Genomic DNA, 27,345 nt, shown 5'->3' on the forward strand with positions numbered 1-27,345 from the left:
AGCAAAGTCACACTGCAAAGGATGCAACGTCAGATGGGTGGAATTTCTGGCTTTTAAACGGTCTACCACAATGATGATACGATAGGTAGCATTATTCTTCACCAAACACCAAAGACCATTGCTAGAGTTGTGTGAAAGATTTACTTGGAACAAACAAATAAAAAGTCCAAATCTCAATAGAATCTAGTTTCAGCAATAACCATTTAAGCTACTTCATAGAGCAAATAAAAGGGGGACTCACAGGTTATTGCTTTTGAAGGATATGTTGTGTAATGCCTGCATATTATCTTTTAACAAGGGTAAAAGAGAAAAGGTGTACTCTCTTATGCAAACTCTTTTTGTATCTAATGTAGATTAAGACAGTCTTATTATGTGGTCCAGGGATGAGCAGCATCAGCATCACCTTACAGATTGTTAGACATAAAATTTTCAGGCTCCATCCAAGACCTACTGAATTACAATCTCTGGTGGTGGGGCCCAGAATCTGTATTTTTAAAAAGTTTCCCAGGTAATTCTTACATGTACTAAAATTTGAGGAGTACTGATTCAGATCAGACACCCCTCCCCATTAGATAAATGTGCAAGATTAGAGATACTTTTCCCAATCTCTTCCTTTCTTCATACATTTAGAGTAAATCCAATAATTGATAAAATTGAATTCATGGTGTAGTCAGTTTTTCAAGAGGTTTGAATTCAAATAAATTATTGGTAATTGTTTTTAATATATTCTTATTTCTACTATATATTTGAGAAACCCATAATCAGAGATGATACAATGTTTGTACTGATTTGGGATCAGGGACATCCCACAGGATTATTCCAACAGGATAGCTTAAAAACAGCCAGGAGTATGAGCTTTATGAACATATGGAGAGCTCTTCCTTTTCAAAGGCAAAATAAATATAACCTGGCAAAGCCCAACCAAATAGCATTATGCTTTTGAAAGGAACTTCATGGCAGGCAGCTGTTTGTATTCATTTTCTAAAGGAAAGGATTTAGGCTTACTCATAAAAATAAACATGGTATTATTATCTAGAGTCTTTGTGTATTTTTTGTAAGTAATGAAGAGTTCACTTATTAGAATAGGAGAGATTCATCACACATCACCAATGACGTTCTTTTTTTTTTTTTTTTTTTTTTTGAGACAGAGTCTCACTCTGTTGCCTAGACTGGAGTGCAGTGGCACGATCTCGGCTCACTGCAACCTCTGCTTCTCAGGTTCAAGCGATTCTCCTGCCTCAGTCTCCCAAGTAGCTGGGATTACAGGCATGCGTCACCATGCCCTGCTAATTTTTGTATTTTTAGTAGAGACAGGGTTTCACCATGTTGGTCAGGCTGGTCTCCAACTCCTGACCTCAGGTGATCCACCCGCCTCGGCCTCCCAAAGTGCTGGGATTACAGGCATGAGCCCATGCGCCCAGCCCTGCCAATGACGTTCTTAGAAAAAATCATTTTTGCAAAGATAGATAATTATAAATAGCTTTAATGGTAATGGTGAATTTTATCAGAAAACTCTTCAAGGATTTTTCGATAATCAAGGTATGAGTATCCCCATTATTAAAATGAGGCAGTTTTCTCAGATTTATACTAAGTTTCCTAGAAATCATTGCAAGTTCCTGTGATGTTCATAGTAAGTTTCATCCCCAAACCTAGCATGATCTCGTAATTTTTCACTATTATCCAAAATTTGTAGGCTACTTTTACTCAAACTTGGAATTGTTGACAATTGTACCAGGTAGTGTACAGTTAATTTCCCTTCAGCAAACTGATAGTGTTTGAAAATAATTTTTGATTGTAACAAAGCAGAGGGCTTTGGTAAATTATAAAACCCTGCCTCAAGATGTTATAGTTTCTCCTATCAAGGGGTGGAGCCCATGTCATCCTCCCTTGATTCTAGTTGGGCCTTGAGACTTGCTTTATGCCAATAAAATATAATGGAAGTGATGTTGTGTGAGTTCTGATGCCTAAACCTCCAGAGGCCTTGACCCTGAATCCTTACGTTCTTGGAACACTGTTCTAAGACTGCTCTGTAGGAAAGTAGTTCTACTCTTTTGGAGAGGGAGAGGCCATAGAAAAAAGTAAAGTGGTGGCCTAGCAAGCAGCCATGCTCGCCACCAGAGATGTGTGTGAGGTCATCTAGGATCTTCTAGCCCAGCCAGCTTTTCAGCCGAGCATACAGCATGAACGGGACCAGGCAAAACCTCAGGAGAACCATACAGCTGTCTCAGCACTGTGAGAAATAATACATGACTGCTATTTTAAGCCACATGCTTTGGGATGGTTTGTTATGCAGCAATAGGTAACTGCCACACTTTTTTTTTTTTTTTTTAAATGTAGTAGGCTGGGAGCAGTGGCTCACACCTGTAATCCCAGCACTTTGGGAGGCAGAGACGGGTGGATCACCTGAGGTCAGGAGTTCGAGACCAGCCTGGCCAACATGGCGAAACCCTGTCTTTACTAAAAATACAAAAAATTAGCTGAGTGTGGTGGCGGGCACCTGTAATCACAGCTACTAGGGAGGCTGAGGCAGGAGAATCACTTGAACCCAGGAGGTGGAGGTTGCAGTGAGCCGAGATCGTGCCACTGCACTCCAGCCTGGGCAACAGAGTGAGACTCTGTCTCAAAATAATAATAATAATAATAAAAAATAAAAAATAAAAAATGTAGGAAAAAACACATATCGTAAAATGTACTGTCTTAACCGTTTTTAAGTGCATATTTCAGTAGTCGTAAGTATATTTACATTATTGTGAAACAGATCTCCAGAACATTTTCTTCCTGGAGAATTAAAACTCTCTACTTGTTAAACAATAACTCCCCTTTGCCTTCTCCTCCTAGCCCCTGGTAACCAACACTCTCCTTTCTATGTCTGTGAATTTGACTACTTTAGATACCTCATAGAGCTGGAATCATAGAGTATGTGTTCTTTTGTGAGTAGCTTATTTCACTTAGCATAGTGTGTTCAAGGTTCATTTGTGTTGTAGCATGTAACAACATGCTTCCTTCCTTTTAAAGACTAAATAATATTCCAAAAAGATGAAAGAACAGGGAAAAGGGCTGGCCCAGCTTTGTGGTCTGATTGTAACTGTATTAATCCGAGATCTCAGCTGGGCCTGCAGTGTCCAAGATGTGCTGCTCTCCTCCTCCAGGGCCCCTTTCCACGTGGTATCTCATGATTCAAGTCTAGCCCAGCCTTCTTTGTAGCATGGTAGATAGCTTCCAAGGAGGAGCTTTCCAAGCGGTCAAGTCCCAGTGTCCAAGCACTTATCAAACTCTGTTTGCATCATGCTTGATAATTTCCCATTGGATAAAGCAAGTCATATCACCAAGGCTTGAGGTGACATGGAAGGGACAAACTACAGAAAGGCATGAACACCATTAGGTAAGGATCCTTGGGGGCTACCAATGTAGCAATGAACTACACCTACTCTGTTCCTTCTTTTTCCACAGCTCTTATCACTTAACAATTTTTATTGAATTTTTAAATTTTTTTGTAGAGACGGGGTCTCACCATGTTGCCCAGCCTGGTCTCAAACTCTTGGCCTCAAGCGATTGTCCTGCCTTGCCCTCCCAAAATGCTGGGATTACAGGCATGAGCCACCATGCCCAGCCCACCTATCGCTTTTTAATGTGCTCTATACTTTACTTCTTTATTTTGTCTGATATCCATTGTCTGACTCATCAATAGAATATAAGTTTCAGGGCTGAGCTCGGTGGCTCACATCTGTAATTTCAATGCCTTGGGAGGCTGAAGTGGAAGGATCACTTGAGGCTAGGAGTTTGAGGCCAGCCTGGGCAACATGGTGACATCCAAGTTCTACCATCCCTCTCAAAATTAGCCAGGTGTGGTGTTGTGTACCTGTAGTCCCAGCTACTTGGGAGGCTGAGGTAGGAGTATTGCTTAAGTCCAGGAGTTGGATGCTGCAGTGAGCTATGATCACACCTCTGCACTCCAGCCTGGGCAACAGAGTAAGACCCTATTTCTGAGAAAAAAAAAAAAAAAGAATATAAGTCTCAAGAGAACATAGAACTTTGTTTTGTTTAGTATTTTTAATGAATGCATGTTTGAAAAGATTATAAAATTGACATAAAATAAGAATGAACAAATTTACTCACAGCATAATATAACTTTTCCTATTAATAAGTCAAAGTATATTAAAAAGAATAGGCCAAATACTGGGTTAATCCTCCCTCTTGTTAGATAATAACAATCATCTTGTTTGGAAATCATGCATCCTTCATCCATCTAGTATTTGTTGAGAGCTCTTAGGTCCCAGGAAATAGGGAAAGAGTGGAGAACAGGATGGACACGGTGCCTGCTCTCTTGGGGCTTAGGTACTACTGGTGAAGGCAGAGAAAAACAGGTGAGCAGATCAAACGATTATGAATTAGGAAAAGAGTTACAAAGTAAATAAGAAAAATGGTGGGAGGTACTCACTTCATATAGGTTGCTTGGGGCCAGCTTGCCTGATAAAGTGGCATTTAAGCTGAGATCTAAAAGGTAGGAATAAATTAGTGTATTAGTCCATTCTCACACTGCTGATAAGAACATCCCCTGAGACTGGATAATTTATAAAGGAAAGAGGTTTAATTGACTCACAGTTCGGCATGGCTGGGGAGGACTCAGGAAACTTACGATCATGGCAGAAGGGGAAACAAACATATCCTTCTTCACATGATGGCAGCAAGGAGAAGTGCAGAGTGAATGGAGAGCAAGGAGAAGGCAGAGGGTAAGCCCCTTATAAAATAATTAGATCTCATAAGAACTCACTCACCATCATGAGAATAGCATGGATGTAACGGCCCCCATGATTCGATTACCTCCCACTGGGTCCCTCCCATGACACGTGGAGATTATGGGAACTATAGTTCAAGATGAGATTTGGGTGGGGACACAGCTAAACCATATTAACTAGCTACCTGAAAAGTGGAGGAGGAGAGTTCCCAGCAGAGGGAAAAGCTTGTATGAAGACTTGTTAAAGCCAGAAACCTAAGAGTCCTTGTGATGCCCATCTAGCTATCAGCAGGTATTGTCAATTCTGTGTTCAAATCTACCTTCGCCTCTTACCTAGACTCCTTCCTACCTGGTCTACCTGCCTTCAGACTTACTTTTTCTCATTCCTTTCTATATAGTAGCAAAAAAAAAAAAATCTTTGAAAATATAAAACAAAAGATTTTTTAAAAAATCATTTGAAAGGCTTCCCACTATACTTTGAGGGGAACAAAAGCCCAATTTTTTTCATAGTCTGTGGCCTATTAAGTCCTATGCGTGTTATAACCTCTACCTGCCCTCAAATTCAGGTAGTTCCCCTATTTTACAGGTAGCTAAACTGTGGAACAAAGAGGTCAAGACACTCATCACAGGTAACATAGCTAGGGAGTAGCAGAGGCAGGATTGAAGTCTGGTAATGATTCCAGACTTTAGGAGTACAACTAAAGTTTCATTCCTCTTTATATGAGAAAGAATATTTAAACGCTGCCCTCAATGAGCCTAGCATTGTTTAATGGCTTAATAGACAGTAACTCTTTCAATCCTCAGAACAACCTTCTGAGGTAGGTATTACTGTCATTACCATTTTACAGAAGAGAAAAGCTATGTTCTCTATGTTTACAGAAGAGAAAAGCAATAAAAAGGAGAAACTGAGTTAGGCTCCAGGAAGTCTCACTCCAGAGGCCACACTCTTAACCACTAAATTACCTATGTTGGTTGTATTACTAAATAAAGTGTAGGGAACAGTTTTGACTTTTTAATGGATATTTTTTAAATGAAAAGACAACACGTATAAAAGAAAGTGTAAAAGGCTGGGCGCGGTGGCTTACGCCTGTAATCCCAGCCCTTTGGGAGGCTGAGGCAGGCAGATCGCTTGAGCCCAGGAGTTGGAGCCCATCCTGGCCAACATGGTGAAACCCCATCTCTACTAAAAATTACAAAAATTAGCCAGGCGTGGTGGCGTATGTTTGTAATCCCAGCTGCTTGGGAGGCTGAGGCACGAGAATCTCTTGAGCCCAGGAGGCAGAGGTTGCAGTGAGCCGAGATGGCGCCACTTCACTCCAGCCTGGGTGATGGAGCGAGACTCTGTTTCAAAAAAGAAAAAAAAAAAAAAGAAGGTGTAAAAATCAAGAGTGGACAGATTGATGACTTATCAAAGTGGACAAATCCATGAGCACTGCTCTGGTCAAGCAGTAGAACGTTATAGAGGCCAGCAGCCCACCCCATGCCCCTCCTAGTCACTGCCCCTCCCTCCTGCTCACAGGTAATCACTCTCCCGACTTCTAAAACTGTAGCCGAGTTTTGTCTGTTTTTGACTTACTATAAATGGAAAGATAAAATTTGCCTTTTTTTTTTTTTTTTGAGACGGCGTCTGGCTTTGCCACCCAGGCTGGAGTGAGTGGCACGATCTCGGCTCACTGCAGGCTCCGCCTCCTGGGTTCCCATCATTCTCCTGCCTCAGCCTCCGGAGTAGCTGGTACTACAGGCGCCCATCACCACGCCCAGCTAATTTTTTGTATTTTTAGTAGAGATGGGGTTTCACAATGTTAGACAGGATGGTCTCGATCTGCTGACCTCGTGGCCTCCCAAGTGATGGGATTACAGGCGTGAGCCACCACGCCCGGGCCAAAATTTTCCTTTTTTTAGGACAAAAGTGTGTCCTGTCTGCGCGCGGTGGCTCACGCCTGTAATCCCAGCACTTTGGGAGGCCGAGGCAGGTGGATCACGAGGTCACGAGGTCGAGACCATCCTGGCTAACATGGTGAAACCCCATCTCTACTAAAAAAGAAAAATACAAAAAATGAGCCGGGCATGGTGGCGGGCGCCTGTAGTCCCAGCTACTCGGGAGGCTGAGGCAGGAGAATGGCGTGAACCCCGGAGGCGGAGCTTGCAGTGAGCCGAGATTGTGCCACTGCACTCCAGCCTGGGAGACAGAACCAGACTCCGTCTCAAAAAAAAAAAAAAAAAAAAAAAAAAAAAAAAAAAAAGAAAGTGTATCCTAATTTGGAACACATGGGTCATTCAGTGGGAATTAGAACAACCTAGTGGAAATTGCCTCTAAATGCTGAGGAGAAACCACTGTGCCCGTGCAGTGTACTATAGGGCTGAGCTTGGAATAAACTTCCCTGGATTTGCCAGTGACAGGTGGTACAGTCAGCCTGGAAAATAAATGAAAATGAGGTAAAAATGAAATTTTGAAGGAGGCATCTCGAGAATGCATGAACAGAACTGGAAAAAAATGCCACATGGAATTAATAATGTGGGAAAATGAGAGGTTAACTCTCTACCAAGGACAAATTGTAATGGGCAATTGCAAGGTAAGACATTTATGGAAAGATCACTTGTTTACTTGTGATGTTTGGGAAGTGAGGAACCATTTGGAGTGGCTCTGTCTTTTATCCATTTGCAGAAACCACAGGGGTAAGCTCTTAAAAGCCAATAATATGAAAGAGAAACTATATAATATAGCATGGCTTACGTGATGCAATAAAAAAGATTAAGGGGTTGCACAAGCTTGCAATTGTCAGTTAATCACTAGCTGCATGAGTGATGAAAGGGACTTTATAATCCAACGCCTGCAGTTTATAGAGACCCAGCCTTGTTAAGTGAACAGAGGCACAGTTAACCAGGGCACGCCCTGAGAAGGGACAGGGTTGGGGCTACAGCCTTGGTATTGGGAAGGTTCAGTTCTTCACCCTATATTGAACTTTCTTATGAGGTCAAGATGTGTAGATGAAGGTTCTGGTCTGAGATCTTAAAAAGGTAAGCTAAAATCTTATTCTGGGGTGATTTTGCCTACTATTTATTCTCCCTCGTGAAAGATCAAGGGGCCCTGGTAGTAGGAAAATAGCTTCTGTGGGTTTGGGGATGGGATGACTACTTGCACCTGGAATGTAAATTATTCTTCCATTTCCCTGTAGACTTTACTCTCGGTTCTTTGAAAATTGCCTCCATCTCACCCTTCAACCTTTCCTAAAACTGGACCTAATTTTTCTCCATTTAGCACTTAATGGATTTTTTTCCTCAAAACTTATTACAGTAGTATTTGTGTGTGTGTGTGTGTGTGTGTGTGTGTGTGTTTATAGACAGAGTCTCACTCTGTCACCCAGGATGGAGTGCAGTGGCACAATCTTGGCTCATTGCAAACTCTGCCTTCCAGGTTCAAGTGATTCTCGGGCCTCAAGCAATTCTCGTGCTTCAGCCTCCTGAGTAGCTGGGATTACAGGCATGTGCTAAAACACCTGGCTAACGTTTTTGTATTTTTAGTAGAGATGGGGTTTCACCATGTTGCCCAGGCTGGTCTCAAATTCCTGGCCTCAAGGGATCCACCCACCTTGGCCTCCCAAAGTGCTGGGATTGCAGGCATGAGTCACCGTGCCCAGTATTTATGTGTTTTTTGTTTGTTTGTTTCTGTTTGTTTTTAAATCTCTTGCTTCGTTAGGAAATCTCTTTGTCTGTGTCCCCAGCTATACTCTAAAATCCAGCCAGTCAGGGACCAGTCTGTCCAGTTCACTGCAGTAATCCCTGTGTGGCTGCAGCACTTCACCCATAGTGAGTGCTAAATTAAGATTTCCTGGGGCCAGGCACAGTGACTCACGTGTGTAATTCTAGCATTTTGGAAGGCCAAGGTGGGAGGATCACTTGAGCCCAGGAGTTCAAGACCAGCTTGGGCAACAAAGTGAGACGCCTTCTCTACAAAAAAATTTAAAAATTAGCTGGGTGTGATGGTGCACACCTGTAGTCCCAGCTACTTGAGAGGCTGAGGTGGGTGGATCTCTTGAGCCTAGGAGGTTGAGGCTGCAGTTAGCTATGGTAACTCCACAGCACACCAGCTTGCGTGGCAGAGCAAGATCCTGCCTTGAAAAAAAAAAAAAAAAAGATTTCCTGAATAAATGAAATGGCCTTTCTGAAAAGGATAGGTGACCACCGTATGTCCCTGAATGTCTGGCTCTAGTACAGGCAAATTGCTGTTAAAATAAGGCTGTAGGCCAGGCGTGGTGGCTCACTCCTGTAATCCCAGCACTTTGGGAGGCTGAGGAGGGTGGATCACCTGAGGTCGGGAGTTCAAGACCAGTCTGGCCAACATGGTGAAACCCCGTCTCTACAAAAATACAGAAATTAGCCGGGCATGATGGCGGGTGCGTGTAATCCCAGCTACTCAGGAGGCTGAGGTGGGATAATTGCTTGAACCTGGGAGGCAGAGGTTGCAGTGAGCCGAGATCGCGCTGTTGCACTCCAGCCTGGGTGACAGAGCAAGATTCTGTCTCAAAAATGAATGAATGAATCAATAAATAAATAAATAAATAAATAAGGCTGTAACATACATTTGGGCTTTCAAAAGCTATGTTTCTATTGTATCAGCAGTTTTGAGTATTCTTGGTACTTTTAGCTATCTGTATATGGCCCCTCAGTTTGGAAAGCAAGAGAAGCTGTGGAGGATAACACACCTGAGTCCTCTCATTGAATCCTTCTTAAAATCTGTCTAGTCCCAAAAGTGTAGGTTCTTCCAATGTGTTCAAAATCTGGCATGTTTTGCTGAGTGGATTCATCTTGGGGAAACTTAGTGGTCCACTTCAGTGGAATTTTGTTTGTATTTCCCGGGATTTTGTTTTTATTTTTTGAATCAAAGTGAACTTGAGATGCCTCTAGAGCTTCCTCACTGGCCTGGAAATTCTCGGGGACACATGCAATTATTGAGGATCCTCCAACCTAGAGTCAGTCTGCAATTAGATCTTCTATAGCAGATATCATCAAGCCCAGAGAGCCCTGTGCTCTCTCCTCCTTGTCCAGACCAATGTGTGGAGAATGGAGGAAGAATTATTTTAAGATGGATACATGTATGGCCATGATTTTTGTGGCTTGGGAGGCAGCATCAAATAGTGGCTAGTTCCACAGGAGTCAGACTGCCTGAATTCAAACCCTGTCTGTGTTACTTAGTGTCAGTATGACTTTGGGAAAGTGATTGCTGTGATCAGAATGTTTGTGTCTCCCTCTAAATTATTATTATTTTTTTAAGACAGAGTCTCGCTCTTGTTGCCCAGGCTGGAGTGCTGGAGTGCAATGGCACAATCCAGGCTCACTATAACCTCCACCTCCTGGGTTCAAGTGATTCTCCTGCCTCAGCCTACCGAGTAGCTGGGACTGCCCACCACCACACCCAGCGAATTTTTGTATTTTCAGTAGAGACAAGGTTTCCCCATGTTGGCCAGGCTGGTCTTGAACTCCTGACCTCAGGTGATCCACCCGCCTCGGCCTCCCAAAGTGCTGGGATTACAGGCATGAGCCACCATGTCTGGCCCCCTCTAAATTCATATATTGAAATCCTAACCCCCAAAGTGATGGTATTAGGGGTGGGATATAAGGAGGTAGTCCATTTCTGCTGCTACAAGAGAATACCTGTGACTGGGTAATTTATAATGAACAGCAATTAATTTCTTACCGTTTTCAAGGCTGGGAATTCCAAGATCCAGGGCTTGGTCTCCAGCAAGGGTCTTCTTGCTGCATCATCCCACGGTAGAAGGTGTAAGATCCAAGACAGCGAGAGAGAGAGAGAGAGAGAGAGAGAGACAAAAGGGGCCAAACTCATTCTTTTATAAGGAACCCACTCCCATGACAACAAAGCCATACCCTAATAATGGCATTAATCCATTCATGAAAATAGACCCTCATGGCCTAATTACCTCTTAAAGGTCTCACCTCATAATACTGTTAAGATAGTAATTAAATTTCAACATGAGTTTGGGAGGGGACATTCAAACTATAGAGTGGGGCCTTTAGGAGGTGACTAGGGCATAAGAATGGAGTCCTCATGAATAGAATTGTGCCCTTATTGTGCCCTTAAAGAGACCTCAGAGAGACCTTGGCCTCTTCTGCCATGTGAGGCCACAGCAAGAAGTACCATCTATGAGCCAGAGATGGGCCCTCACCAGACATTGAATGTGCCTGGATCTTGGACTTTCCAGCCTCCAGAATGGAGAGAAATAAATTCTGTTGTTTGTAAGCTACCCAGTTTATGGCACTTTGTTATAACAGCTTAAATGAATTGAGACATTGACTTTTCCTATCTGAGAATTGCCTATCAATATTGGTGTTTGAATTTTTATTTCCTGGGGTTAAATTTCCTGCCCTTAAAAGTCCCTTCCTACCCAAATTTCTAAGACCAAAATGCATTTCTGTTGCTCAAATGTGGTGAGAAGTTGCCTGGCAAACAGTGTACATGGATAGTGTCCTTAGCTGGAAAACTCCTATGTTCTGGTTTAGCATGGCTTATAGTCATCAAAGAAGCAATATTGCCTCTAGTGAAAGATATTTGGCACAATATCCAGCCCCAGGGGTATGCTACAACCCAGATGGCTGAGATCTCTAGCAGGACAGCAGGTGCACATGCAGGCAAGCAGGATTACTCTGAAATAGGGCTAGAGGCATAATTTTTCATTTTATATTATTTTCTGAGCTTAATCCACAGAGTTATTTCTCCTCAAGGGAATGTGATAATACACGTTGGCAAAATAGTGCAAATGTAACTGAGACCATATGGTGGAGTATTTATTTTCTTATTAGGCAAATACGACTAATCTATTATACATAGTAAGTATCTGTTGTGAATATATTTTAATGTGAACAAAGCAATAGCTAAACTACCATTAAAAATAAGGTTGACACCATTTTTTGCATCTATTTTCATTTATTTTACCACCATCTAATATTTTTGCATTTTAAAAACATTTAAATCTAATGAACTTTTCAATTCAATTGCAATTTTTGGCTGAAATATCAATATAAAAACCTTCAAGATTGAGATAATGATTTATGTCTTGGCTCATTTATCCAATTAAAAGTCAAAGTGAGGTACAAATTAAATGATCCATATTATCAAATAACAGTTAACAGTCTCTGGGACGAGATATGAGAAGGGACATGAGACAATCACAGATTAATTGGTTCTTAGGCATCATAACATTTTTACGTATTGAATTACACTTTACGTAGATTTTGCATATGTCCTTCAACTGAATCAAAACATAAGTTGGGGAAGTTGATTTACTCCTAAAGGGACTGGTTTTTTATGTTAGACTACTGAGTGAGCTATGAATTAACTTTTAATAGTTTGAATTCTGTTTGGCTTCTGTTTTGATGAATTACTTCATCAAGCTTGACATTCTGAGGGTTTTTATGAAGATTTCTGCCTGGTATTTTTCTTTTCTCTTTGAAAAACTTTATTTTTTTGTTGAGGTATAATTTACACAGAGTAAAATGCATATATCTTAAGCACTGTGCTAGGCAGAATAATGTACTACCAAAGATTTCCACATCTGAATTCCTGAAACCTATGAATATGCTACTTTATATGACAAAAGGAAATTTGAAGATTTGCTTAAATCTCCTTGAGATAGGGAGATTATTCTGGATTATTTGTGTGGACTCAGTGTAATCACAAAGGTTCTTAAAAGCAGGAGAGAGAGGCAAAAGGGAGATCAGAATTATGTAATGTAAGACCTCCACCCATTACTGACTTTGAAGATAGAGGAAGGAGGCTGTGAGTTAAGGAATGTGGATGACTTCTAGAAGCAGGAAAAAGCAAGACAATGAATTCTCCACAGTCTTTATTTATTTTATTTTATTTCTTGAGACAGAGTCTCACTCTGTCACCCCAGGCTGGAGTGCAGTGGCACCATCTTGGCTCATTGCAACCTCCTGGGTTCAAGCCATTCTTGTGCCTCAGCCTCCCAAGTAGCTGGGATTACAGACATCTGCCACCACACCCAGCTAATTTTTTTTATTTTTAGTAGAGACAGGGTTTCACCATGTTGGCCAGGCTGGTCTTGAACTCCTGACCTCAGGTGATCCACCTGCCTTGGCCTCCCAAAGTGCTGGGATTACAGGTGTGAGCCACCACACCCAGCTACTCTTTATTTATTTATTTATTTTGAGACAGAATCTTGGTCTGTTTCCCAGGTTGGAGTGTAGTGGCACAATCTTGGCTCACTGCAACCTTTGCCTCCCAGGCTCAGGCGATACTCCCACCTCAGTCTCCCGGGTAGCTGGGACCACAGACTCACACCACCATACCCAGCTAATTTTTTGTATTTTTTCGTAGCTAAGGAGTTTTGCTATGTTGCCCAGGTTGGTCTTGAACTACTGGACTCAAGCCGTCAGCCCACCTCAGCCTCCCAAAGCTCCCCGTCTTTAGAAAGGAACGCAACCCTGCCAAAACCTTGATTTTTGCCAAGGGAAACCTTTGTTGGATTTTTGGCCTTACAGAACAGTAAGATAGTAAATTTGTATTGTTTTAAGCTACTAAGTTTGTGGTGATTTGTTATGGCAGCAATAGAAACCCAATACAACAGCAAAATAAATTTTTTGGGTGAGAGGGACAGATCCCTCATGAATGGCTCGGTACCCTCCTCACAGTAATGAGTTAGTTCTCACCCTGAGTTCACACGAGAGCTGGTTGTTTAAAGGCGCCTGGCACTTCCTCCTTGCTCTTTTGCTTCTTCCCTCTCCATGTCGTACCCTGGCTCTCCTTTTGCCTTCCGCTATGAGTGGAAACTTCCTGAGGCTCTCACCAGAAACCAAAGAGATGTTGGTGCCATGCTTGTACAGCCTGTGGAAACATAAGCCAAAATAAACCTGTTTTTTAAATTCATTACCCAGTCTTAGGTATTCCTTTATAGCAATGCAATCAGATTTATATCATGTAAAACATTTTAACCACCCTAGAAAGTTCTCTTATGCCTTTTCCCAGTCAATATCACCCATTAGAGGTATCCATTATTCTGACTTCTGTCTTCATAGATTAGTCTCTCCTCTACCTGATCTTCTTATAAATAGAATCATACCGTATGCTCTTTTGTATCTGGCTTCTTTCTTTTCACATAATGTTTTTGAAATTCATCTATCAACATCATTTTTATTGCTATGTGGTATTCCATTGTATGGATATATCACAATTTATTTGTTTGCTCTATTTCTTTGTTTCTAGCTTTGTCTATTACTAATAATGCTCTTTGAACATTCTTACGCAAGGCTTTTTATGGACACATGCACTTACTTCTCTTGGAGATGTACTAGGCATAGAATTGCTTGGTCATAGATAGGTTTATATTTAGTAAAAAGTGCCAAGGTTCTTTCAAGTGGTTGTAATATTGCAGAATAATTTTGCAAAGCTTTGACCCAGATGTACAAAATCTTTGTGGAAGGACTTAAAAATGTTCTGTAGTGGGCTCCCTTCTCTCATGATTATTGATGAAAAGGGTGTGTTTTGTGGCACCATATTGTACAAGGCTTATTACCAGGTGCTTGGAGAAGAGCAAAGAGCTAGCTGAGACAGTGGCTGGGACTCTGTGCTTTGGACTTTAATCTGCCACTTCAAGTACATATTCAACTCTGTTCCATTAACCTGTCAGCATCAAAAGCTGATGTTATGAAACTTAACTTAGCACTATTACTATGTTAATAATTATTTGGGGAAAAAATTGAAGGACAGATGTGAAAGAGACCAAAGGAAGAAGAGAAAAAAAATGCTTTGGGGCTGGGATTTTGTCGAATTATTTCACAGCATCATATAAAATAAATATAGTGACCTTCGGAGTTAGACAGTACAGGGATCCTATTAGAAATAACAAGTGCCGGCTGGGCGCGGTGGCTCACGCCTGTAATCCCAGCACTTTGTGAGGCTGAGTTGGGTGGATCATCTGAGGTCAGGAGTTCGAGACCAGCTTGGCTAATGTGGTGAAACCCCGTCTCTACTCAAAATACAAAAACTAGCTGGGCATGATGGTGGGTGCCTGTAATCCCAGCTACTCCAGAGGCTGAGGCAGGAGAATCGCTTGAACCTAGGAGGCAGAGGTTGCTGTGAGCTGAGATCGCGCCATTGCACTCCAGCCTGGGCGACAGAGTGAGACTCCATATCAAAAAAAAAAAAAAAGAAAGAAATGACAAGTGCCAATTCCTGGAGATACTGAAGAGACAACATATATTGAATGATCACTCTGCATCTACTTTTCAAAAATTTTAAAGTTCATAAATACTCTAGTCCCCAGCCTCCCATCATCCTTGTCATTTATGTTTCTGTTGATGATGAGATGACAAATGCAGTTGATCCTTATTATTCATGGATTTTGTAGTTGTGAATTCACCTACTCACTAACATTTATTTGAACCCCCAAAATCAATACTTGTTGCACTTTCGTAGTCATTTGTGGACGCATGCAGCATGGTGAAAAATTTGAGTCTTCCTAAAACTGATGCTCTGCCTTCTGCATTCTTCTTTTACTTTTTTTGTTTACAAATCCACTTATTTAGGTTTATGAAAACCATTGATGACAATGATTTTTAGTTTTCGATGGATGGGTTTTCTTTTCTTTTTCTTTTTCTTTTTTTTTTTGAGATGGAGTCTTCCTCTGTCACCCAGCATAGTTTTTCTTTTTATAACTTTTAAAAATTGGCCAGGCACAGTGGCTCACATCTGTAATCCCAGCACTTTGGGAGGCCGAGGTGGGTGGATCACCTGAGATCAGGTGTTTGAGACCATCCTGGCCAACATGGTGAAACCCTGTCCCTGCTAAAAATACAAAAATTAGCCTGTCATGGTGGTGGGCACCTGTAATCCCAGCTACTCAGGAGGCTGAGGCAGGAGAATCACTTGAACCCAGTAAGCGGAGGTTGTAGTGAGCCGAGATTGTGCCATTGCACTCCAGCCTGGGAAGCAGAGTGGGACTCCATCTCAAAAACAAACAAACAAACAAAAACTTTTAAAAATTAACAGATACAAAATGTGTATATTTATACACAAAGCACCACATGGTGTTTTGATATATGTATTCATTGTAGAATGGCTAAATCAAGCTAATTAATATATGTATTGCCTTGTATACTTTTTTTTTTGTCATGAAAACACAAAATCTACTCTTTTGGCAATTTTGTTTCAGCTCTCTTGTTGCAAACAAGTATTGTTCTCACCGTCTTAGTACCACATTTTTTTTTTGAATTTTTCTTCTTTTTGTTGGTGATTTTGCCCTTTAAAATGTCCACAGCCATAGGGATGAAGGGCTGTCTAGTGTTTCTAAGTGCAAGAGGGCTGTGACATACCTGCCAGAGAAAATACAAGTGTTTGATAAGCTTCTTTCAGACATGAGTTATAATGTTGTTGTCAGTGAGTTTAATGTTAATGAATCCCAATATATATTAAATAAAGTGTTTTTAAGCAGAAGCACACATACAACAAGCTTCTCTATGGATCAGTTGATGAAATGGATACCAGAGGCTCACAGGATCCTAACCCTGTGTTTCCCTCAAGGTGATGGTTCAGTATTCACTAATTCATTGTTCACAGTGGCTTTATAGAACATAACCACAGTTAATAACGAGAACCAGCTGTCTGTGGAACATCATCCCTCACTTCCACTGACATCCCTGAGAAATTCCCGATGTTAAATCCATTAAACCAACATAGAAACCTGTTGAGAGTTCCCACTGATCTTCTAAGGGGATTTTTGTAGGTTCATAGCCAAGTTTCGTGCGAGCCCATCCTGATCTCTTTTAGGTTCTAGACATACAGCTTCATATTTACTCTTATATCTGTCTTTTCTGCTAAAATAGATAACAAGTTTGTAGCAACAGTTATAGACTTATAGAATGTCAGTGATGAGAAGTCCCTCAGTTGTAGCAGTCCACATCCCTCTTTCACAGATGGGAAATTTGAGGCCCAGCCAGGTGGAGGGATTGCCATGACCTGGAATTCTGTTCATTCTGCTGTCTTCTATTTAATAAATATGAGTTGATCTGAGGAGAGAAGATGGCAATAATAACAATATGTGAAATCTATTAGAAATTAACATAGGCCAGTGTGGTGACTCACACCTGTAACCCCAGCACTTTGGGGGCACTGAGGTGGATGGATCACTTAAGCCTGGGCAACATGGTGAAATTCGCTCTCTACAAAAAATACAAATACTAGTTGGGCATGGTGGCGTGTACCTGTGGTCCCAGCTACTCGAGAAGCTGAGGCATGGGGCTCAAATGAGCCCGGGAGGTCGAGGCTGCAGTGAGCTGTGATCACGCCACTGCATTTCAGCCTGGGCAACAGAATGAGACCCTTCTCAAAAAAAAAAAAAAAATATATATATATATATATATTCGTATATATATATTTGTGTATATATATATGTATATATATATAAATAAACATAGTAATAACAAATTCTATATTGTCAACCTCATATATATTTTAGTGATAACCATAAATTAAAAAAAATTGTTTCTCAGATAACTTAGAACTCTATCATTGCAAGTCAAGGTTCCAACTAAGTGGTAGTGTCATACTATAGAGAAATCTTTTAACTAGAGGATAGTCAAATCACGGTGTCTCCGTGTGACACTGAATTTTTGAAAAGTTGTTATATACAGTGTAGCTAAAGGAACACTTATGGGAAGCAAAGCTCTGTTTACTGACATGATGAACACGGAACTGAATTCTTTTGTCACCTGTCCAGAGTGAGGCAGACATCCTGAAGTAATTTCCTCTATATCTGAAATTCAGAGGTTTGTTAATTACCAATATTTTAATTTATATTATATGTATATGATAACACTATATATACACATTTTGTTTGTTTGTTTGTTTTTGTTTTTGAGATGGAGTCTTGTTCTGTCACCCAGGCTGGCCCAGGCTGGAGTGCAGTGAGGGGATCCTGGCTCACTGGAGCTTCTGCATCCCAGGTTCAAGCCATCCTCCCACCTCAGCCTCCTGAGTAGCTTGGACTACAAGCGTGCACCACCTGCCTGGCTAATTTTTTGTATTTTTGGTAGAGATGGGGTTTCGCCATGTTGCCCAGGCTGGTCTCCAACTCCTGGCCTCAAGTGATCTGCCCACCTTGGCCTCCCAAAGTGTTGGGATTACAGGCGTGAGCCATGATGCCTGGCCAATAACATTATATATATATATATATATATATATATATATATATATATATATATATATATATATATATTATAATATCGTATATATACACATATATAACATATATAACATAATGTATCATATATACGTATATAATTTTTTTTACTGAGATAAAGACAATATGTGTGTGTGTGTGTGTGTGTCCATTTTTTTTTTTTTTTTTTTTTTTTTACTGAGAGAAGGTTGATGCTAGAGTCTGGAGAGAAGCAACCCAGCCAAAACTGAGAGTCCCTGGAGTGTGTGACCTCTGTAGCTATTCACGCATGAAGATGATGCCACTGGCTTACTCTGTCAGCACATCAGAAGCTCTGGGTTGTTTTTCTGTGAAATCAGTAACATTCCCCACTGATTATAAAAGTTCACTGTGGAAAATCTGGGAGATAAAGAAAAGGGTGAAGAAGAAAATAATTTACTCATAATTCTACCTTTCAGAGATGAGCACTTTGGGGATTTGATCTTTTTATCCTTTGTGCATATATACTCATAGACATTAGTTGTGTTTTTTAAAATAACAAAATAGTGTTACATGCTTTACTTTGTACCATTTCAGTTTAATATGTCATGTGAACATTTCCATGTATTTCCACATATTCATGAAATATTCTCCAAAAACTATAAAATCATACCCCCAAATTTTTGGGCAGGAAGGCTACATTTTTGCTCTTGTAAAATAACACCACAATGAGTATCTGTGTACATTTTTTTTTTTTTTTGCTTTTGCATAGCTCTGATTGCCGCCTCAGGATAAATTCCTAGACCTGTAATTACAGGGTTAAAGGGTGTGGGGAATTTTTCTGGTATTGGCAGAGGTTTCTCTGGGCCCATTATAATCATAGGGCCTTTTGTTGTGGATGACTGGAGGGAAGGGAAGTTGTCCCCGCTGTGGTGATGGCTACTGAATTAAAGGCTCTGAATCTATCACTGGGGTCAAGTCCAATATCCAGCTTTGATAGAATAGCTTCTGTCTCTAGCCATTCTCCTGGAGGTGGGTACCTGGAGTTAAAATTTTGCCTTTTAAATTGAATCTGCCAATCATGACTTTTTATGACTAAAGCTGATATTTTGATGAAAAAAGATAACATTGTCCGGAAAAACTGTTTGAATATTTAAAATGAGAACAATACATTTTTGAGATTGTTTCTCTTTTAAGATTTTCTCAAAGCCAGAAAATTCAAGCATATAGAGACTAAGCCCAGTTTCCTTTCAGGATATTTTTAACAGTATTTACAAGGGGATCAGGCACACTGGCCTTAAAAGACCTTTAAGCCACCGGGCACAGTGGCTCATGCCTGTAATCCCAGCACTTTGGGAGGCTGAGGAGGGCGGATCACGAGGTCAAGAGATCGAGACCATCCTGGCTAACATGGTGAAACGTCATCTCTACTAAAAATACAAAAAATTAGCCAGGCATGGTGGCAGGTGCCTGTAGTCCCAGCTACGCAGGAGGCTGAAGCAGGAGAATGGCGTGAACCCAGGAGGTGGATCTTGCAGTGAGCCGAGATTGCGCCACTGCACTCCAGCCTGGGCGACAGAGCGAGACTCTGTCAAAAAAAAAAAAAAATTACTCCCACCTCCTAAAACCCTGTATATATAAATATTATGTAGGCCAAGCATAGTGGCTCATGTCTATAATTCCCACACTTTGGGAGGCCAAGGCTGGCAGATGACTTGAGGTCAGGAATTTGAGATCACCCTAGCCAACATGGTGAAACCCCATCTCCACTCAAAATACAAAAATTAGCTGTGTGGTGGCATGAGCCTATCGTCCCAGCTACTCAGGAGGCTGAGGCAGGATTACTTGAACCTGGGAGGTGGAGGTTGCAGTGAGCCGAGATTGCATCACTGCACTCCAGCCTGGGCGACAGAGCAAGTCTCCATCTCAAAAAAAACAAACCTAAAAAAGACAAAAAAAGATTACCCTATAAATATTACATAGAGAAGTGATTTGGCTTTTTTTCTGTGTGTGTGTGTGTGTGTGTGTGTGTGTGTGTGTTCCAAGTAAACCTTTCACACATTTCTAACAATAGTCTTCAACTTAAAAAACGCCCAGATTGTCTAAAGAATAATGGCAACAAACATGTGTGGGAAATCACCTTCAATCTGGCCAGTGCCCTTTGTTCTTTGTATACCTATTTTATATCTGAAACAGCCCTTTTTTTCTTCAATATTTATTTAACAGAGGAGGAAACAGCCTCAGAGAAATCAAGGCACTTTCCTCAAATCTGACGTTACATGAAGAGCTTGGTCTGTCCAGTTTCAAAGTTTTACATTCACTATAACACTCACTTAGAGTTCTTACAATGGTTTCTTATTCCAAATCAAGTGACTACTCTGCATCCCCACCACTATTTCAACCATTAATTCACTCATTTGTTTAACATGTATTCACTCATTTATTTAACATGTATTGAGCAAATACCCTGAATAAGGTTTTAGGAGTAGAAAAATGACCAGACATCCCATCAACCTAGATGGCTTTGGGAGGAAGACATGGAAATGAGCGACACAATATACTGTGATGGGTATGAAAAGAGGAGTTGTGAAATCTTACGAAGTATCTGATCTTGACTAGGGGCACTGACCTTGAGGCCTGCCCTGAGTGATTTTCAGTCATTAATGTTCTCTCACATCTAAATTCAACCTCACACATGTTTACTCACTCTGTGTATCCCCTTACACACTCTCATACAATTCACTCAGGTTAGAGTGTGCTCAGAAAGGTGAAATGTAATTTAAAAACGGCCCAATGTTTTTTGTTTATGATAGAAGCAAAACTATGCGTGTTTCTCTATCAACATTGTCTATGAGTCACTTGAGGGACACATAGATTGTAAAATACTCCTAGATTACAAGTTGTTAACTTGCCAACTGAAAACTATTTATTCAACACTTCTATATGCAAGACACTGGGCTAACTGGGGTAGAAGATTCAAAGCAATAATAATGATATAAAAATGATTCCTGCCACCTGGCAGTAAATAAGTGCTAAACACTGGCACAGACCACAGTGCTGAATGAAATCAGAGCGTGCTACCATTCATAAACAGGAGAGATTCAAGGTAATTCTTTCACTTTAGACAATAACAATCCAAGTGCTTTATATAATCTGGATAATAACGAAGAACAAATTTGCAATTGCAAAAATGTGGAACCAGCCCAAATGCCCATCAATCAATGAGTGGATAAAGAAACTGTGGCACATATACATACATACATATATATATATATATATATTATATATAATTATTATATATAATAGAATACTACTCAGCCATGAAAATGAATGAATTAATGGCATTTGCAGCAACCTAGATGGGATTTGAGACTATTATTCTAAGTGAAGTAACTCAGGAATGGAAAACCAAACATCATATGTTCCCACTTATAAGTGGGAGCTAAGCTGTGAGGATGCAAAGGCATAAGAATGATATAATGGACTTTGGGGACTCAGGAGGAAAGGGTGGGAAGCAGGTGAGGGATAAAAAACTACAAATTGGATTCAGTGTATACTTCTTGGGTGATAGGTGTACCAAAATTCAGAAATCACCATTAAAGAAGTTACTCATGTAACCAAACACCACCTGTTCCCCAAAAACCTGTGGAAATAAAAAATAAAAAAAATAAAGAGTGCGCCAGCTTTATCAATAAACTTCAATAAAGACCAAATATTAGGGACTGCACAGCAGCAATTGATCCACTATAGAGCTTTCTGTGGTGCAATATGACTGGACGCTGGAACCGAGCATGCTAATCATCTTAGCTGTTATACTATGATGGGTACCGAATGTGTGAGTCTTTTTAAATACATGATTTGAGTCCTGTGAAAATAAAAGTAGGGTAAATAAAAGTACAGAAAAAGTCAGGTAATTTTCCTTCTTCCTATACCCTTACACTTGCATGTTTTTTCCCCCTTTTCTTCCCCATAGTTGCATTTAGGTAAAGTAGCTGTGGCTTTTTCTGCTCTGATAAACTTTAAACTTACCTCAAGTAAAGTAGCTGCAGTTTTCTTTGTTATGATAAACTTTAAACTTGCTTATTGTTTTTTCTTCTGGAATTATTGATGTTCTATTTTTTTAGACATGAGCTGTCTTTTCTAGTATTAAAAAATAGCTCTATTGAGATTATTTCTTTTCACATGTGAGACTTCTGTATTTACTATAAACACTCTTTTCTCACAAAGATTCTACATTTTATTTTTCTCTTTACAGGGAGAAGTCTAATATCACCCACACATTCCTGTCTTCTTTCCTTCAACTGTGCCCTCATACTGGCTCCTTGATCTGAGTTATATCTATCCTATTCAAGTAGGAGCCTCTGAAACTCTCTCTCAATCCCTGGACAAGATCGTAAGTAAAAATAACATTTCATCCTAGGAGGCACAGAGAGATTAGAGCCACCCTTAAGGATACAATGGATATGGAGCTGGTGGTCCCCATCATGTCTCCATTCAGTTCACCAACATAGACCCCAAAGAAAGTCAAGGGATCCTGGAGGATAGCTATAAATGACAGAAAGTAAGATAAGGTATTTTTGCCGGAACAAATTATTAAATAATTTGACCTCAAGTTTCTGATAAGTGGTCATGGATTTGGCAAATGCATTTCTTTGCAGCCCAATTACAAAAGACTGTATCTCTGTCATGATGAAGACCAGGAACAATTTTCATTCACATGGAAGAGACATCAATATTTGCTCTCTGTCACGATACAATCTGAAGAAATCCACCCTGCCTCGATATCTCTGGAAGGCTGAATATTGATCCCCCTTCCCCACTCAAAGGTGTCCATGTCCTAATCCCTGAAACCTGTGTCTATGTCACCTTCCAAGGCAAGAGAATTTTACAAATGTGATCAAGCTAAGGCTCTTGAGATGGGAAGACTATCCTGGGTGATCTGAGTGGGCCTGATGCAATCACAAAGATCCTTGTAAGTCAAAGAGGGAGATAAAGGAGTCAGAGTCAGAGAAGATGTAATGATGGAAGCGTGTGTGTGTGTGTGTGTGTGTGTTTGTGTGTGTATGTGTGTGTGTGTGTGTGTGTGTGTGAGAGAGAGAGAGATAGAGATTGAGATTTGAAGATGTTATGTTGCTGGCTTAAAGATAGAGGTAGGAGCCATGAGCCAAGGACCGCAGGCAGCCTTTAGAAGCTGGCAAGGGCAAGGAAACAGATTCTCTCCTGAAGCTTCCAGAAGCAACACAGCCCTGAAGACACCTTGATTTCAGGACATCTGGCCTCCAGAACTGTAAGATAACACATATGTATGGCTTTATGCCACTAAGTTTGTGGTGATTTGTTGTAACAACAACAGAAAACTGATGAAGATTTCCCAGAGAACATCAGAGTGATGGTAGGAGGTAGGATGTTTTTATGGGTTAGTGAATTCAGCAGCTCAATGACATATTTAAAATCCCAGGTTCTTTAACAGTTTTCTCTTTGACATCCTCAGTGTGGTTTTTGCTTTTGTTTTCAGACTAATTTCCTCATGGTGACATGATTGCTGCCTGGTTCCAAGCATCACATCTCACGTGTCACCAGTCAGGAAGGGGGAATGGGCGTTGTGTTTATTTACAGTAATAAGTAACACTTTATCATAACAGTAGAATATATTTTGTCCCGTGTGTCCTCCATTCTTTATATTGAACTGCAAATCAGGATAACTAAAGGAGACATTGCAAAGGGTTGTATAGATGTTGAGACATAATGTTGAACAGGCAAGTGACCTTTGAATCTCTGACTATTCTTGTCACGTTTGATAAAGATAAGAGTTGGCATACAGGGTAATCTAACTGGAGTGTTTTTTGAGAAGAGGTATATTGAGTATTTGAAGACACAGTTAATAAAGAATCTTGCATAAAGAGTCATAGGATTCCAAGCAAAATTCAGTCCAAGTACTTATCAGTGAGTAGTTATGAAAATACCCGTTGCTTTAAAGGCCTGTAATCTTCTTTGGAAAGCTCTGAATGCAAACCTCCTTCTAAAATGACCAAATATACTTATTTGCCAATAAGCAATACTTTCTCAGAGTAATTTTTGTTCTCTAATATAGATTTCATTAACCTGTTCAATTTATCAGCTTATTCAGTTAATTACACAGTTTTGCTCTGGGCCCTGGCAGCAGCAAAATGATGCCATGGTTCGCCAGCATGGGGGAGCATGTGTAGGGATTGGGTTGGAAATCTTCACAAGGGTGGTTGCTACTCTACCAAGATTTCCACTGCAGTTCAGTGGCTCTATAATTGACACTGCTGTCTTGGGGAGGTCCTTTGCAGTAGGAATGCAACTGATGAGAAATGGCTTGGAGTTAATTGAAACCTTTTGAAGTTGCTCCAGTCTTCAAACAAACAAACACAAAAATAAATTCTTAAGTGTTATATTTACAGCATAAATTTATAACAATATTTCTTATGGGAAGGAACTTTGGGGCCATGTTCATTCTCATGTACTGCATACATCTTCTGCAGCCACTGAACAGTAACACGAGGGCTGAATTCACTGAGGGCCGAAGTGTGATGCCACGGGAAGGGCATCGGACCATGAGTCAGGACATGGGGTTTCTGGGACAAGTTCTGCCACTAACTCCCTTGCAGGATGTGGGATCAAAATGAACGCCCACTTTAATTTTCTTTGAAGGCAAAAACCATGTCTTATATACAATGTTAATACTACTGCTTCTACTACTACTACTACTATTACTACTACTAATACTATTACTACTACTGCTACTATTACTATTACTACTACTGCTACTACTACTACTACTACTACTACTACTACTACTATTTCTTTTCTTTTTCCTTTTTTTTTTTTGGGACGGAGTCTCGCTCTGTCGCCCAGGCTGGAGTGCAATGGTGCGATCCTGGCTCACTGCAACCTCTGCCTCCCAGGTTCAAGCGATTCTCCTGCCTCAGCCTCCCGAGTAGCTGGGACTATAGGTGTGTGCTACCATACCTGGCTAATTTTTTGTATTTTTAGTAGAGACAGGGTTTCACCGTGTTAGCCAGGATGGTCTCAATCTCCTGACCTCGTGATCTGCCCGCCTTGGCCTCCCAAAGTGCTGGGATTACAGGCGTGAACCACCACGCCTGGACTATTACTACTATTTCTTGAGTGCTTACTGGGAACTAAGTATATCATAGTAAGTGCTTTGCATCATTTACCTCATTAAATTTTTATGTCAGAGAATGTCAGTATATCTCCTCTTAACAGATGAGAGGGCGAGACTTAAAGAGGCCAGGTCATGTTGCTTAAGGTCACATGGGTGTGTAGGTGTTAGAGCCCAGGACCGTCTGATTTCAAGGCCTATGCACTTCCTGCTTTAAGATGGATAACAAGCAGGGCTGATGTTAGTAACCCCTCAGCTTTACAAGAGTGATTCTCAGCCTGCGTGTACATTGGCATCATAGTGGGTGAAGGGGAACTTTAAAGGACACTGATGCCAAGCTCCACCCCAAGGGATGCTGATGTAAGTTGTCTTGGTTACAGCCTGGGCAGTGGGATTTTTTTAGTTCTCCCCAATTTGTTTTATTTTGCAGCCAAGATTGAGAACCGCAGCTTTATGTGAAGTTTCAGAGATTGAGAAGAGAAAGCTGGGAGGGTTGAGGTACTTTCTGGTCATGGAGCTCCAGTGTTCAGAGAGCTAGTTTTTCTTAGAAGAGTTTCTTGAAGAGGTTCTTTAAATGCTAAATTCTTGGGATTTGGACTAATCATCAATGCAGCTCTAAAAGTGTAAAGCACTTGTGGAAGGGAAGGAGCAAGTATTTGGGAGGAACACTTGAATTAGTTGGTTTCAGAGAGCAGATTTGATATGAGGGGAGTTCCTGTTCTAACAGAAAAAGGGCCGAGCACGGTGGCTCATGCCTGTAATCCCAGCACTTTGGGCGGCCGAGGTGGGTGGACCACGAGGTCAGGAGATGGAGACCATCTGGCTAACACAGTGAAACCCTGTCTCTACTAAAAAAAAAAAAAAAAAAAAATACAAAAAATTAGCTGGGCGTAGTGGCAGGAGCCTGTAGTCCCAGTTACTCAGGAGGCTGAGGCAGGAGAATGGTGTGAACCCAGGAAGCAGAGCTTGCAGTGAGCCGAGATCGTGCCACTGCACTCCAGCCTGGGCGATAGAGCGAGACTCCGTCTCAAAAAAAAAAAAAAAAAGAAAAAAAAAGAGAAAAAGAAGATTCTATGTGTGATGATGTAGTGACAAGTTCTCACATAATTAATCCAGTCAGGCCTATAACTAAAGGTCATGGCAGAGATGAAAAGGGTCACAGTTTGGGTGGACAGTGTAATATCATCCACATAGTAGATAAGATGATGTAATTAAGAAGGGAGTGATTCGTTTACTTCTTGTGTGCCCATTTAACTGTTACATGTGACCATGAGCCATTGAGCAAATTACACTTTCTAGTATATTAAATGGTGTAACAACTGAACCAAAGACTTATCTGCTTCTGGGTTATTTACTCACCTTCCTACTCTGCAATGCTGAATGCTCTTTTATATTAAATAACTGGATTTGTTGGACAAAATGTGCTTCAAAATCAAAGGGTCTTCTGGATATTTTGGAGAGTGAAGTTTTCTCCTTCTTAGCAAGTCTTGGTTGTTCCGTCATCTTTCCATCAGCAGTGAGTTCCTGGTTGGAGGTAACTGTGTATAAATTAAAACTCCTCAAGGCCAGGGAAGAAGAGGAAGAAAGAAGTGTGTGGGCTTGAGAATTAATTCTGAGTAGAACTGGGGACAATCTTCATGAATGAGTGAAACCATGAGTGATAACTGTGTTCCTTAAAGAAGAGGGTTGCTCTGTTTCTTGGGATGCTCTTAACAAAAGTGAATGTGTACGTGGTTTTCCCAAAAGGGCATTGAGCAAATGACAGGATGAATTTAGCATTGTTAGGTACAGACTTTTCATTGGTTCTTAGATAGAAACATACCCAGTATAAGAATTCTGAAGTGACTGAAAGAGGAGATATTCTAGTGAAAGAAAAAGGAAGAAAGAGCTGCTATTTCCTGACTGAAAATCTGACTTCCACAGAGAATTACCTTTTAGGAAAACCCAGATGGGAACAAGTTTAATCTTTCTCTGAGTTGAGGGTGAATGGGGTTTCCAGTTCAATTTTTAAGGTAGTTTTAATCATGCCAAACTATTAAATGTGTATGTATGAGATTGGATTAACTCAGTCTTTCTTGTGTCACTTTTTAGAAAAGGAATTGTTAGCAGATGATTGTAGTCATGAAATATTTTGACTGTCTGGCAGCACTAATGTTAAAGATAGAAACAATAAAAAAAGCCAAAACAGGTCTTTTATTCATTCTTGTATGAAAAAGCATATTCTCCAACTATATATGCTTTTTGAAAAATTTTATTTTTCCATAAGTTATTGGGGTACAGGTGGTATTTGGTTA

At 40.6% G+C, this 27,345-nt stretch overlaps 1 long non-coding RNA gene across 1 annotated transcript in view; it reads left to right on the forward strand.

Moving 5' to 3' along the window:
* Nucleotides 1-7,602: 7,602 nt before the first annotated feature.
* The window catches only part of LOC105373910 (uncharacterized), a 39,168-nt gene continuing 19,425 nt past the window's right edge, over nucleotides 7,603-27,345 (forward strand). The window contains exons 1-2 of the long non-coding RNA XR_923956.2: nucleotides 7,603-7,753; nucleotides 22,160-22,297. This is a non-coding gene — a long non-coding RNA (uncharacterized LOC105373910). The remainder of the gene's footprint in view (nucleotides 7,754-22,159; nucleotides 22,298-27,345) is intronic.

The sequence above is a fragment of the Homo sapiens genome, chromosome 2 (assembly GCF_000001405.40).
Source record: "Homo sapiens chromosome 2, GRCh38.p14 Primary Assembly".
Classification (NCBI taxonomy): Eukaryota; Metazoa; Chordata; class Mammalia; order Primates; family Hominidae; genus Homo; species Homo sapiens.